Here is a 15608-nt window from a genome sequence, read left to right as displayed (position 1 = left end):
ATTGCTTTGGGCCTAACCATTAAATGCTGCCAGTCCATGTGTCATTTTATGTTGGCAAAAGATGCTGGAGTTTGGCTAATTCACTCAACATCCTCTACTAGTATATCCAATCATAAAAAAGGGAAGGCAGGGAATCTGATAATCCTATTTGATTACCAAATTATCAGTAATCAAAGGTTTCATTTTCCAATTTTTATACATATTAACTCATAATTTTCATCCCATCTATGGCAGAGGTGTGTTAATCATCGGCAGTTGGAGAAACTGAGGCCTAGTGTAATTAAGTGCCTTTCCCAAGGTTTCCATTGGCTTGGGTTGACCTTAACTGGAGTTCATCAGATAGCACAGTTTATATTTTTCCAACTACTATGTCTTCTCACCAAAAACTGCGAGAATTACGGTGCTTCTTTTGTAACTCTGAGACAAGATAGTATCTCTCTTTTTAACAAACAATAACACTTAACAACTATTGACTATTATTACTACTTCTCAAGTAATGTTTTTAGTACTTTATAGGTATTAACTCATTTAGTCCTCCAAAGCCACTGAGATAGGGTCTATTATTGCACCCAATATATAGATAAGAAAACCGAAGCACAGAGAGGTTAACTAACTTACCCATGAACACTTAGCTCTCGAGATCAGAATGCAGGATTGAAGCCAAGCAGTTTGCTCTTGAGTCAGCATTCTAAACCACTCCAATGCATTGCCTCCCAGAGACACTTTGTGCCAGAAACCAAATGGTAGGTGTTGTCTTACTATATGTAGTAACATCACGTAGCATTAAGAGGCAGCGTAGGGATCAAGAACAGAGATTCTGGAGCCAAACTGCCTCTGTTTCAATTCAGGTTCTGCCACTTACTAAATCTATGGCCCTGTGCCACTTACTAGATGTGTGACCCTCTTTCTATTTGAATTTACTTATTTAAAAAGTGGAGCAGATAATAGTAAGTGCCTCATAAGATTATTATGGGAATAAACATTTACATAGCACTTGAAACAGTGCTTGGCATATACTTATCAGTATTTAAGTTTTTGTTTAATTGTTTGTAGTTTGATTTGTCCTCTGATTTCTGTCTCACAAAGCATACTCTAGAAAACGGTTATCTCAGTGGCAACCTGAAGTGACCAGACACATCCACAGTGTCTGACTTTGTCAAGTGGCCCTACTCACTATGGATGCCACGGCAAAAAACTGGGCCCTGAGGCTTCATAGTATCTTATATTTCTGTGAGATCTGTTTTCAAGGGAAGAATCAGCCTTGCCAACTTTCCAAATTTAGCCATAACTGGGTCACCTAAAAAAGTAGTGCAGTGTTCCCTCAAGTAACCTTTTGCTTATGTTAATTTGATATGAAGTGTTTCTCACCGAATCTTAGCACGTTGTGAATTTCATGAGTCACTGCTTCAGCAGATAAGTGTGTGAAGAGTGCCTTTTCAGAACCATTGCTGGAGGTGGTGCAGCTTGTTTCTACCCTAGGTCAAGTCTGTATCTCTAGGGACTGTGGTAAAAACAAACACACAAACAAAGAAGAAATAGGATCAGATATGATTGTGTTTATTTTTGTCTTTTGTGTTATAAAATGTTCAAGAAGGAATTTTGCCTTGAATGAGTTGGGCCACATGTCTAATACTGCTCACTGGCCAGTGCCAGGGCCTTTGCTAGGTGCTCTGTGTATGAGAGGAATTGGATCCTGGTGCTGCCTTTAAAGTCAAAAGTCGCACAGTCTCCTGTTGCTCACTGCCTCTAGAGAGATGCTTATAAGGAATTGTCTTCAATTTGTGGTTAGAGGTTGCTTTTCTCAAGCCTATCTTGACACAGGAATTGTTATCTGACACAAGACCTTCTCCTTAGGTCACCAAACCAAAGAAAAGCTGTTCAGAGAGACTGGTTGTTAGAGTCATGTGTTATGTCTGCAGTAAAGAACTATTCTTATCTCAGAGGACAAAGGATGTTGGGATGAGGGGAGACCACTAACATTTTTAGAGTGCTTACCAGAGGCCAGGTACCATATTAGAGATTAGGTTACCTTACTTCAACCTTGAATCAACTCTGTGGGGTGATTGTCTCTTTCATTAGATATGGGGATCAATACTTACTAGATAAATGAGAATAACCTGATTAAAGTCAGAGATAGGAGGAGGTAAAGCCCAGAATTTGAACTTAGGTCTGTCTTGCTCTAGAGTCCATGCACTTCCCACTGTAGGAATTATATTCATTAAAAAAAGGAGTAAACTGAATTTAGAATATTAGAAATCTTTACCTGACTCTTTATTTAATAAGTTCAGGAGACAGAGTATGAAATTTTAAAAGTCCACTGACTTCACTTTCCTGCAGAAATGACATTTACTGGTCTGCTCTCCCTGCCCCCCCAAAAATCTTACATCTTTCCTTATGAGGACATCATTATAGCCTGCTCTAGTTTAGCTCAAGCAAGGCTATGCATCAAGAAGTGGAAGGTTTTATGTGGCTTTCTCAACTTTACAGGGTAGAAGAAAGGACTTTGGAGCCTCGTGGAAATAAGTTCTATCTGTATACTTGCTTCTGACTCTCAAGTGGAGAGAATACCTTGTTTAAGAGTTAGCATAAAATATATAATAGTTATCGTAAATCACTTGAATTATAGTTGTGGCTCAATAAATTTTAGATCCCTTTCTCTTTTACAGTAAGACATTCCAGTGACTCACTATCTCATTGAAAAGGGCTCATCTGAAGATACTTACTAAGCATGTAGTGTGTCTGGCTGTTTTAGATGCTTGAATAACACTAAAAAAAATTAAGCTCTATGGCCCCCTGCTCTTGATGACCTTGGATCCTGGATATGGAGAAAGAATTAAAAAGTAGAAATGATTTAGAAACATATAAAATGCTTTCAAATATGACACTTGTAGTAAATAAAACACAATTCAGAGAAAGTAGAGACTGGTACATGCGAGGGTCCAGGGAAGATTTTCCAGGGGGGAAGGGATTGAACTGGTCTTGGGGCAGAATTGATACTACACCACCAGGTAGAAAGAGGAGCTTAACGCATCAATGTCTCCTATGACCTTTTTCTTCCCCTTTTTATTTTCTTGTTTCTGTAGCAAGAACATAAAGATCATTTTCCTTTTCCTTCCCACTCCCCTTTCATAATGCGAGTGCACTTGTTTTTACTTGAATATAGAAACAGAGGCATTTATCTTCTTGTCAGCTGTCCAAAAGGAATTTAGACAGTTTCACTTATGTGTCACAATTGCCATTTAATCCATCAATTAATTTTTAAAAATTTTATCTTGCAGTTTTGCAATTGTACTTATTTTAAAGAAAGATGGAAATAAAGCTATTTAAAGTAATACCATGCATGCTTAATATAGAAAATTTAGAAAGCATAGGAAAGTTTATAGAAAAAATATTTAGAAGAGGTCCACCATACAAAGACAATTATAATTTATATTTTGGAGTATTTCCATGTGTGTGTGTGTTGTTTATTTTGCATAACAGTGACACACATTATATACATTTCTGTACTCTCTGTTTACAAATTGTTATCATGTACGCATAAAATTCCATGAATATGCTGCGGTTTATCCACTTCCCTAATATTGTGCATTTAAATTATGTATACTTTCCACTGTTAAAATTAAAATCCTGTTGAAAATGTTAAATGTTTTCATTTTTTTAATGCACTCTGAGGTGTGGAATACATAGAATTAATTTTTTGTAAAATCAATTATTTCTTTTAGAAGTATTTGAGTAGCTACTGTCTTCCAGCTACCATGCTAAAGGTGGCTTTTGTATAGCTAACAATCTACTAGGAAAACAAAGAAAAGTAGAATGTGATCAGTGCCTTAAGAGGAGAAAAAGAAATGCACTGAAGACATTCAAAAAAGAGGTCAGTTATGACTAGAATAATAGGAATGGTTTCCTGGAGAGAAGCAGAATTTGATCTAAGGCTTGAATGATGGGGTTGTAAATTCCACAGCATGATCACAGGTGCAGATGTGGGAAAGAAAAGTATAATGAAAGATCAGTGAGCAAACCTATTTGAAGAGAACTTAGGAGCCATGTAAGGAAATTTCAGACCAGAGGCCTAGAAAGGTAAATTTTAGGCAGAGAGTCATGAATGTCAAATTAAGAAGTCCAAACACCTTTCTAATAGACAGGAGTTCTGGGATTTTTTGCAGAGGATTACATGGTATTACAGATTTTTCCTTATAAATGGGTGCAATTGACAGTGAAGAGTTCTAGGATTTTTTTTTTTTTTTTGCAGAGGATTACGTAGCATTACAGATTGTCCCTCATAAATGGATGCTTATATGCAAAGATGTTGAATAGTGTTAGCAATGGAATGTGAATTAAAGTAATGTGGCATTTTCACCTATTAGATTAATAAGTATTTTAAAAGATTAATAATAATTAGTACTGACGAAGATATAGAAAAGTAACTATTATCATTGATGTAAATTGTGCATAATTATGAGACTATAACTTGGTATAGACTTCCTGGGAAATAATATGACAGAATACTTCAGTATTTAATATGTGCATACCCTTGTATTTGGCAATTCTTCTAAAAATGCATGCTAAGGTAACAATTGAGAAATACTCAAGAATGATCATACATAACAATCTGTAGTAGTATATTGCCTAGTACTGTTACATTGGCATCAAAGGAAATGCCCATTAATTGGAATATTTTAAATAATTTATGGCATTAACCTTGAACAAAATGCTTATAATTATGGTTTTCCAAAATGATGAATTATATTTTTATGTACTAGCCTTGAATAATATTTATCATATGTTAAAAAACAAACCAAAACAAATACCAAACAGTAACTTCTATCTCATTTATGTGAAAACAAATATTTATATTATTAATTTAGGTAAAAACTATCAAGAAGAATATATACCAAATAGTTAAAAATAATTATCACTTGGGAGTAGAAATTTTTTAAAAGTTCCCTTTTACTTTAAATCTATCGACCTTTCTTAAAGGAACATATTATTTGTTAAAATATATTTTGAAAAACTATTTAGAAGAGATTATCACAAACATTATTTTGGCTACAGCTTTGAGTGTAAACCATCATGACTACAAAGACAAAGATGAAAATCAGTGTCCTCTGAGAGACCTTTTAATATCATCTGGTGTTGACCTTGTCATTTCCCGTCACATCCTATTTTCAGTCCATTGTAGCACTTAGCAATACATTTTACTTTCTGGTTTATTTTTTAAATTATCTTCCTGAGATTAAGGACCTTGCTTATTTTGTTCCATGCCATCTCTAGCACTTAGAACACTGCCTGAATGACAGTAGCCTCACATAAATCAGGAAGATGAAATGAATGCCAGTAGGATACCTATTGCAGTAGTTGCCTTTAACATAAAGTTTAAATACCTTAATTTGACTTATAAAGCCCTACATAATTTAATTTCTGCTAACATCTCTAGCTTCATTATCTTATCATTACTTTCCCTACCCTACTCCCCACTGCCCCAGGATTTGTACACGCTGAACTTTCTTCAATTATCTTAATATATTCTTCTCTCTCATCTCCTGAGTTTTGTACATGTTATTCTTACTTCTGGAAAATTAACTGAGCTCTTCTTTTTCTTATTCCTGTTGATTCCTCTGGTATCAGAATATCTTAAGCAGTGTTACTGCTCAAGGTCACAGACTCAGGAGTTAAATGTTAAATTAGTTATGCAATCTTAGTCAAGTTATTTTTGCTTAGATACACTATCCTTATTTGTAAAGTAGGACTAATAGTACCTATCTTATAACAATTTAAGGATAAATTAGTAGCAGCTTATTACATATTAGGATGATGATGATGATGATCCCTTGTGTAGTCATTGTGGTGGTAGTGATATCATTTCTTTAAGAAAATTTCCTTATTCCAGCATGTGATAGGTGCCATTTTTCCATGTCAAAAACTAATCATTGTGTATTATTGAATATTTGTTTGTTTTTAGATCCTACTAGAATATAAGCTCCATGGGAGCAGAGGCTGAAGCCACTGAGTTCATCAGAGTACCCACAATACCTAGCACAGTGTCTGGCAGATAGTAGGTGTTCAATAAATGTTTATAAAATGACTGAATTGGATAATCTTGTCATAAACCAATACATGAGATAAGATATATTGTGAGAACTAAGAAGATAGATCTTGGTAACAAAGAAGAATGAGAAAGAGTGAGAGTCAAAGATGACTCAGGTTCAGAGATTGAGAACTAGGAAAATGAAGCCATTAAGAGGATGAGTGACTAGTTTTGAACCTATTGTTGACCCCTAAGAATTGTCTTTTATCTTTTTTCTTCCACAGTTATCCTAAATGGCTCTTAGATTGATTGCATCCTTTCACATCTAAAACTTTATGTTAGAGGTGATGCAGATGCATACCTGCTTCTACAGATGAGCAAATTGAGATCTAGAGGTAAATGGCTTGCTCTAGGTCATATTCAAGTAGAGGAAAAGTCACATTTCAATAGAAAAATGTAATTTTATTTGAATTATTCATTTTTTCATTTAGAAATATATATGGAATGTCTGCTATGTTCAGACCATCATGATCCGGGTGCATAGAGATATAAATAACCTGGCCACAGCCCTTTAATAGCTCAATATTTATTGGTAGAGACAGTTACATAAACGAGTTCAGGACAGACTAATAAGCCTTCTAAAGCATTTATAATGTCCTCTAGGAGAACCATGAACAGAGCAATTAATTCTCAGTAGAAGACTAAAAGAAGATGCTCGATTGATGTTACATTTGACCTAGGCTTTTATGCTAGCTATTCATTTTTCAGTATTTTATTCTATTCTATTTCCTTCAAAGATAAGCTGGACTTTGATTCTAAATTAGAATTTTCTAATTTCACCAATGCAATCAGAGAAGAACATTATCTAATTCATGTCTATCATTTAGTTTGAGTTTTAGTTTCTTTTAAATTGTTTTACACTTTTTCTTTTTTTCATTTAATTTAACTCAGCAACAGTAATTCTCTGTTGTGAAGAAACACTGAATGAATTAATGTTTGAGGTGACAATTGTCAGCAGACTTTTAAGATCTTCTGCAGAGCTGATAACATATTGAGGAAGCTGACTTTTTGCAAAATCAAAAGTAGACTCCAAATGAGAATATTCCAGAGCCCCAAGGTGATCACTCTATTTCTCCCACTGCATCCTTAAAGGGACATAAAAGCAAAATCAAATTACACTTGCTTTTTGGTGATAATAGGAAAATAGGTTGTTTTAATATATGTAGATGGGATCACTGGTATATGGTTTACAGAGCTAAATTTAGATTGAAAATAGAATCATAGTGTTTATGAATTGAAAGGAAAGCTTAATGGAAATCTACTCAAGCTTTTGTCTCTTTCTTATTTAGAAACTGATAGAAAGATTGAGTGAATTGTTTAATATCACAAAGTTTTCATTATTTAATATAATTACTTTATGTCTTTCTGTTACTTAATACCTTTATGAAATTGGGCAAGTCAGTTAAATTCCCTATTTTTTTTTTCACCAGTAGAATGGAGAAATGGAGAAAATAATAGGTATTTCTTAGAGTTGTTTAGAGAATAAACTGAGACACTGCATGCAAAGTATTGATTTTATTGCAGCTATTTTACTGTGTCCTACCCTACTTCTCCATCTCTAGGAAAATATTAAGATTTGATCACAATATAAGCAGCTAGCCACCTCTATTTCTCCCACTACTGTATTCCCAGTGTCCAGCACAGAGCCTGACATCTAATAAGCAGTCAATATTTCTTCATTGAATGAATGTCTGAATCTGAGTTTCCTGATGCTTTTATATTATCTGATGGACCTCTGAAAATATTTGAATTCTAGACCTCTGGAATTTATGCTACTCTTTTAACAAAAGGGTAAACTGAGACCCCAAATGTTAAATAATTGGCTTGTGATCACAAAGATGAACCCTCAAGTGTATTCATTTGGGGCTCAGGTTTTCTAACCACGAATTCAGTCTATTTTCTACCACAGACCTTTAGCAATATTAATAAATAATATGTTCTCCCAATATTCTATCTATAGTCATGATTATTCAAGAAAATTTGTAAACTACAATTGTGTAAAAACTGAAATATATTTTTTAAATTTACTTACATAAACATTGTCAAAATGTAGGCATATTTTCTTTGGATCTTTCATTTAACATCATCACGTGTAATTATTTTGTCACTATATATTCTTTAAAAACATTTTAGTAGGTGATTAAGATTCAATTCTACCGAGATACCAAATCCTGTCATTTTGTATTGTTGGATATTTAGGTAATTTCCAGTTTCTCACTGTCATAAGTCATGCTCTCTTCAACATATTTATGCAAAATTGCCTGTCTTGTCTTTTGATTACTTAGAATAAATTACTGGAGATGAAATGATTGTTGGATTAAAGCTCTTAGATGATACATGGAAGCACTGCATTTCTTTCCAGAAAATGTACTAATTTTTCTCACAATTGTAGTTTCCACGGGTATTTTTCCTAATGCTTCTTAATTACATGTTGATGCCTATCTTTATTATTGGAAAAAATGTGTCAATAATGAAGAGCAATATTCTCTGTATGTGCATGAGTGCGTGTGTGTGTGTGTGTTTCAAAACAATTCTTTCAGTGGCAAATGTATCACTACAGCTTCCAGAATAACCTGTCAACACCAAATATAATTTCTCCTTATTCTTGCTTGATAATATATGCGGGTTACCTGTGTACAATCTTCTACATAAAAATAACAGAGTAGAGATAGCTTCAGCATAGCTAGATCACTACCTTTATACATATAATCCAAACACAATGAAGTGAGCAAAGTTCATATTTTAATTAGTCAAATATAATTATTCTCTACTGTAAGCTTTTATTTTTACCTTGTGTTAAGCCATTTATCCTTTGAGCATTTGAACTTCTATAGCAATTATCTAAACATTCCTTGGACACCTACCATGTACCAGTTTTGAGGGATAAGTTGTAAAAGGCAATTATTTCCTTCTTTTTCTCATTTTTTAATTAATAGTGATAATTCATAGTTTCATTTCGCAGATTTCTTTGGTATACAAAGTTTACTGTTGTTATCCAAGAAATACCCAAAAATGCTATCCTATAAGAGGAATAAAGTTCTGGTTTTGTTAAGCAGTGAGGTCTTGACACTAAATACTGCAGTTATATTTATACATGATAAATTCCCTTTTTAAATTCCTGAAGAATGAATTTGAAAAAATAAACAAGGTATGTTAAAAGAGCATTATATTTGAAGGCAGATAGATTCTAGTCATATCCTCATAACCAGCTTGTGTTACAGAACAAGTTACTTAGCCTCAATAATCCTGGATTTAATAATCTGTCGAATATTTCTGCTGTCCCCACAGTATTGTGGAGAGAATAGGGGAAGGGTGGAATCTGTCATGTAAGTGATTAAAAAACTACCAATACAAGTTAATAATAATAAATGTTTAGGGTTTAGGTTGAAATTTATTTTCTTCATTGATGGTATGATGGCTAGGGACTCAGAAATGCCCTATTTTTGCCCTGACATTCATACTCCTCCCTGTGTCCGGCCTGCCGCCTGCCTGCCTGCTTGCTTGCTTGCTTTTCTGTCTTTCTTTCTCTTTCTTTCTTTCTTTCTTTCTTTCTTTCTTTCTTTCTTTCTTTCTTTCTTTCTTTCTTTCTTTCCTTCTTTCTTTCTTTCCTTCTTTCTTTCTTTCTCTTTCTTTCCTTCCTTCCTTCCTTCTTACTTTTTTTTTTTCAAGGTGTCACTCTGTGGCCCAGGCTGGAATGCAGTGGCTCCATCAGGATTCACTGCAGCCTCAGCCTCGCAGGGCTCAGGTGATCTTCCTACCTCAGCCATCAGGATTCACTGCAGCCTCAGCCTCGCAGGGCTCAGGTGATCTTCCTACCTCAGCCTCCCAAGTAGCTGGGACTACAAGTGTGCACCACTATACCTGGCTAATTTTTGTACCATTTGTAGAGATGGGGTTTTGCCATGTTACCCTGGCTGATCTTGAACTCCTGGGCTCAAGCGATCTGCCTGCCTCTGCCTCCTAAAGTGTTGGGATTACAGATGTGAGCCCCACTGCTGGCTTCCCTTGGAATTTCTAATTACGGAATGTATACATAAGGCATAGAAGCTAAATTGGCCTCAGAGTACCACTTTATACCTGAATACTAAATGCTCCCAAAACACAGCTCTGGTAAAAGCTGAGAAATCCATATGGCTTAAGCCTGTAGGTGTAAAATAGGCATCCTATTTCCTTCTTCATGAACTAAGATGTATGAATACACCATTCAAATTTAGACACAAAGCATTTAAAATAGAAAGAGTAAGTCCTAGATGAGTCTACCCAGAGGGGCAGTTTCTGCTCAGCTCTTCACAAAAACAAGGCACTAAAGCAAGAAAGAAGAGAATGACCCAACATGCCTGGAGAAAGCTGATTCTGCCTAGATGGGTCTGTACTGTGAAAGCAGAAGTAGAAGAGGGAGCACCGCTTATGGATGCTGACATATGACACAGTTTTCATAGTCCCTCGTAAAACAAGGCTCAGTTAATGTCCTGAGATCTGATTTATCATATTATTATTATTATCATTTGAGATGGAGTCTTGCTTTGTCACCCCAGCTGCTGTGCAATGGCATGATCTTGGCTCACTGCAACCTCTGCCTCCCGGGCTCGAATGATTCTCCTGCCTCAGCCTCCTGAGTAGCTGGAATTACAGGCATGCACCATCATGCCCGGCTAAATTTTGTATTTTTAGTAGAGATGGGGTTTCACCATGTTGTCCAGGCTGGTCTCGAACTCCTGACCTCAGGTGATCTACCCACCTTTGCCTCCCAAAGTGCTGCAATTACAGGCATGTGACACTGTGCCTGGCCAAGATTTGTTTTATTTTTAGAGGCAGGGTCTCACTCTGCCACCCAGGCTGAAGTGCAGTGATGTGATCGTGGCTTAATGCAGCCTCCAGGGCCTCCAAAGCCCAAGCAATCCTTCCCCTTCAGCCTCCCAGGTAGTTGGGACCACATGTATGTGACACCATGCCCGGCTAAATTTTTTTTTTTTTAATGTTTTTCTTTTTTCATAGATGGGTCTCCCTGTGTTTTCCAGGCTGGTATCAAACTTACTGGGCTCAAGCAATCCTTCTGCCCTGGCCTCCTAGAGTGCTGGGATTACAGGCATGAGTCACTGTGCCTGGCCTGTTATATGATTTTAACAAACATAGTAACTAAAATATTATCAGAGGAGGTGGAATTCCTTTCATACACTGATATTTTCAATATAGTTTAGATAAGCGTGGTACCTGGGAAGAAATTCTCAGAATTTAGTGATGAATAGGATTAGATAAAATGTAAAATAGCTGAGTTGGATTAGGGAAATAAGCATCATAACACCAGTGTTTCAACCTTAGCTGCAAAGTGGAGCCACCTTGGGTACTTTAGAAAATAGTGGTTTCTTAATCCAACCCTCAAAGAATCTGATTTAACTGATCCATATTGCAGCTTGGGCATCAAGGGTTGCCCAAATTTATAATTTGTAGGGACAGAGGAGCACTGAATTTGGAATTAAGGAACCTGTAATCTACACCTAGATCCTGCAAGTACTAGTTGGTGGTTTCTGAGCAAAGGGCTTAGTCCTTCTGTGCTGCAGTAAAATGAGAGTGGATGAAATAATCTCTCTTGGGGCAGTGAGGCCCAGTGCAAAACACATCCTGTGAATTTAGGTACAGTACTCCCCAAACCTTATCTTAGCTTGTTACTCTGCAACTTTGGATATCTTAATAAAGCCTTCTGAGCTTTGGTCTCATTATTTGTGAAAATGCACAGTAATAGTTACCTTATTGGAGTTTTAATAATATGAAAAGAAAAACATAGATTGATTAAGCACTATTCTCATGGTATCATTTAATTTGTTCTCTTTTCACCTGTCCTTGTTCCTGTAATTTGCTAATTAGGAGTACAGGCCTGATTACATTAAATGGATTTTGTTGTTGTTATGGTTTCAAATGGCAAGAATACTTCATAGATGGTGCTCCATACTTCCTACTGAAGGCAAATGATGCCTTCTTGTCCTACTTTTACTGATGCTGTAATTGATCAATGGATTCAGATGATATCAGTGCAATCCACCCATTATAAAGTTCAAAGCAAGCTTTTGGAGATAGATTTTTCTTTATTTACATCTAGTAACTCTAACTGCTGCTTTAATGGTTCATGGTTGCCACTGCCATATCATCTTAGCCTTTCTCTTGAAAAGCATCCATGCCTTACAAATAATATGAAAACCAGAGACTGGAAGAATATATGTATGCTTTCATCTTCCTCTACTCATTATCATTTCACCCATCATTGACATCATTGTTCTCATGTTAAAAAGACATTTTGACATAATTTTTGGATTCTAGCATTTGTAGAAACAGAGTGCTTTTGAGAACAGTATCAACTTTTTGGAAAAAAAATAGTCTGTCTAATAATAATAGTGGTCATAAGGAGGAGAAATACAAGTACTTCCTCTATCATTATCCCTCCTTGTAATTAATGCTTACTTTGCTGTCTTCGCAGTTAGACTCTAAAGCTCCATAAGCGTAAGAGATTCATTCATTTTTTTTTCTTTTTTCTTTTTTTGAGACAGAGTCTCGATCTGTCATCCAGGCTGGAGTGCAGTGGCGCAATCTCGGCTTACTGCAACCTCTGCCTCCTAGGTTCAAGCAATTCTCCTGCCTCAGCCTCCCAAGTAGCTAGGATTACAGGCATGAGAAACCACACCTGACTAATTTTGTATTTTTAGTAGAGATGGGGTTTCCCCATTTTGGCCAGGCTAGTCTTGAACTCCTGACCTCAGGTGATCCGCCCGCCTTAGCTTCCCAAATTGCTGGGATTACAGGTGTGAGTCACTGAGTCTGGCCACAGTAGATTCATTCTGTCATTATCATTGCTGAATCCCCTATGCCTAGCATAGTGCCTGATGCATAACATAGTAAGTCTTTTAGAAATAGTATTTTGATATAAGGATTTGGAAAGTGATATATTTCGTACAATTAAGTTAACAGTTCAACCTCAGTTTCGTTTTCATTGATAATATGTAATTCCAAAATCAAAAGTAATTTAGAGGTCATCTAGTTCACCCATATGCTTCCTGTGGCAAACGCATGATGGTCTCTTAGCTTCTGCCAGAGTACCACCCACAAATGACTACATACACCCTCTCAAATGCTGCATAGTCCATCTAGAGATAGTGCTAATTGTTAGAAATGCCTTCATTACCTTGAGCTGGTATTTGCCACTGAAATTCCATTCTTCCTCTAGAAATTTCAACAGAGTAGGCTGGGTGCAATAGCTCAAGCCTATAATCCCAGCACTTTGGGAGACCGAGGTGAGCAGATCACCTGAGGTCAGAAGTTCGAGAGGAGCCTGGCCAACGTGTCGAAACCCCGTCTCTACTACTAAAAAAAAAAAAAAAAAAAAGAAAATTATCTGGGCATGGTGACACACACCTGTAATCCCAACTACTTAGGAGGCTGAGGCAGGAGAATTGCTTGTACCTGGGAGGCAGAGGTTGCAGTGAGCCAAGATTGCACCACTGCACTCCAACCTGGGTGATAAGAGCAAAGCTCCGTCAAGAGAAAGAGAGAGAGAGAGAGAGAGAGAGAGAGACAGAGAAAAGAAGGAAAGAAATTTCAACAGAGTAAGTCTGATAATTCTTTCAGCTGATGAGAGAAGTTTGTAAGTTGCCTAATAAATGTTTTCTTTTTTCCTTAAAATTAGCTAATGCTAGGTGTTAATGTGGAAAAAATATTTTTTCTCCTATGTGATTTAAGTCAGATTCTTCAGAGTGGCTCCTATTTTTTCCACATTAATATTCCTTTAGCTCTTACCTTTAAGATGCAATATTTTTATTAGGTTGGTTTTGTTGGTTTCTCTATGCTGTAGAGTTCAAGTCTTCTAAAACTCCAATTATTTCTTTAAAGTAAAAAATAATCAGAGCATCAAATGCTTATACCTCCTGCTTTAAAACCAGTTTTCAATCTGTGACTTTAAAACCAAGAAAGCATCTGCAGTATTTGGATGATTTTGTGATATTTCTTCTTTTATGCTTTATTTATGGTTAAAGGAATCATAGTAAGCTTTTTTCAGCCAATCTTAAATAAAGCTTGAAACAACTTCCGGAAGAAATGAAACAGTAATAACCTATGAAAGCTTCACTACCTTGAGAGCAAGATTGTGTTTTCTCCGCAAAATCTGTCTGTGCAGAGCCAGGAAGTTCCTGGTGTCTGTAGACTCTCCCACTGGATCTCATACAAGGTTCAGTTGCTTGAATGCTTATTTCAATATGCAACAAATAAGCTTTTTTTTTTTTTTAGAAAAAGGAAATTTACCTTTTTATGAGGTAGCTCTGACAATGACTAAGTCTTTCATTAAGGTACTATTGCCAGGCCAGGTGCAGTGGCTCATGCCTGTAATCTCAGCACTTTGGGAGGCAGAGGTGGGTGGATCACTTGAGCCCAAGAGTTTGAGACAATCCTGGGCAACATAGCAAAACCCTATCTCTCCAAATCTCAAAATAATACAAAAATTAGCCCAGCATGGTGGCACGCACCTTTAGTCCCAGTTAGTCTGGAGGCAAAGGTAGGAGGATCGCTTGAGCCTGGGAGGTGGAGGTTACAATGAACAGAGATCACACCACTGTGCTTCAGAAATAGAACTTTTTCTACCATAACTATATATTCAAGATAGGTATGAGACCCCCAAAATAAATATAAAATGAGTATCTTCTCAAATCTCCATTTTACAAAGTGCTGCTGTAATTTTTTCAACGACCTACATTTTGTGATCTACTTTTTGCATGAAAGGTCATCTACATGATCCCAAATAACTTTCATAGCAGCAGTTGATATAAATGCTGAGTTTATATTTTGGAAAGGTGCCCAAATCCTGAGGTAGGAGGTTTGCTTTAAACCAGTAATGATCACATGATGTTTCAGGCTCTGTTACTAAATAATACTTTATACCCAGTTGTATCCATGGAAACCTGCAACAGTTCCATAATTGCAGTAGGCTCTAAACTAGTCCCTCTGTGGCAGGTCTCCAGTTTATCACTCACACTGCTGTCAAAGTGATTTTTCTGTAAGACAAATATAGCATGTCTTTTCCTATTTTATACCTCATAAATCCCAAACTGTTTGTTTTGCATGCCATTTAAAGTTTTTGTATATGTGTGGCCTAGTCTAATTTTCCAGCCTCATGTTCTACCAGTCCCATCCGTATTTCAGTCACAATTTTTTGGACTGCTACTTTGTTCTTTCATTGTTGTTTTCTCATGCTTTCTTCTGTCTTTCATATTCTTCTTTTTCTTCCTAGTGAATTATCCACTCACTTTTGAAAAACCAATTTAAGTTTCATTTTTTGGGTGAGGCTTTTGTTGGCATTCCAAATGGAATAGTCACCTCTATTGTCTAGACGAGACACATAGAAGATGCTCAATAAATGTTGAGGCATGAATGAATGTTACATTAGAATGCCAGTCCATGTTCCCTTGTCTTCTGGACTCTGTGAGGTCATCAATGGAGAAGAGAGGCTTGAGAAAAGAAAATCCACCCACAGTTTAACTGTGCATTT

General features: G+C 36.3%; 1 protein-coding gene and 1 long non-coding RNA gene across 35 annotated transcripts in view; one reads left to right on the top strand and one right to left on the bottom strand.

The window, feature by feature from the left end:
* DLG2 (discs large MAGUK scaffold protein 2) overlaps positions 1 to 15608 on the top strand; it is a 2173362-nt gene that overhangs the window by 1018537 nt on the left and 1139217 nt on the right. The gene's annotated exons all lie outside the window — the stretch shown is intronic.
* On the bottom strand, positions 1424 to 14885 carry LOC105369416 (uncharacterized). Its single transcript, XR_007062820.1, has 4 exons — positions 14815 to 14885; positions 13868 to 13952; positions 2724 to 2815; positions 1424 to 1501 (listed from the first exon to the last, which is right to left on the bottom strand). It is a non-coding gene; the product is annotated as an uncharacterized LOC105369416 (long non-coding RNA).

This window comes from Homo sapiens, chromosome 11, assembly GCF_000001405.40.
Source record: "Homo sapiens chromosome 11, GRCh38.p14 Primary Assembly".
Lineage (NCBI taxonomy): Eukaryota > Metazoa > Chordata > Mammalia > Primates > Hominidae > Homo > Homo sapiens.
The sequence above is the reverse complement of the archived record's forward strand: the minus strand, read 5'-3'. Positions and strand labels throughout refer to the sequence as shown.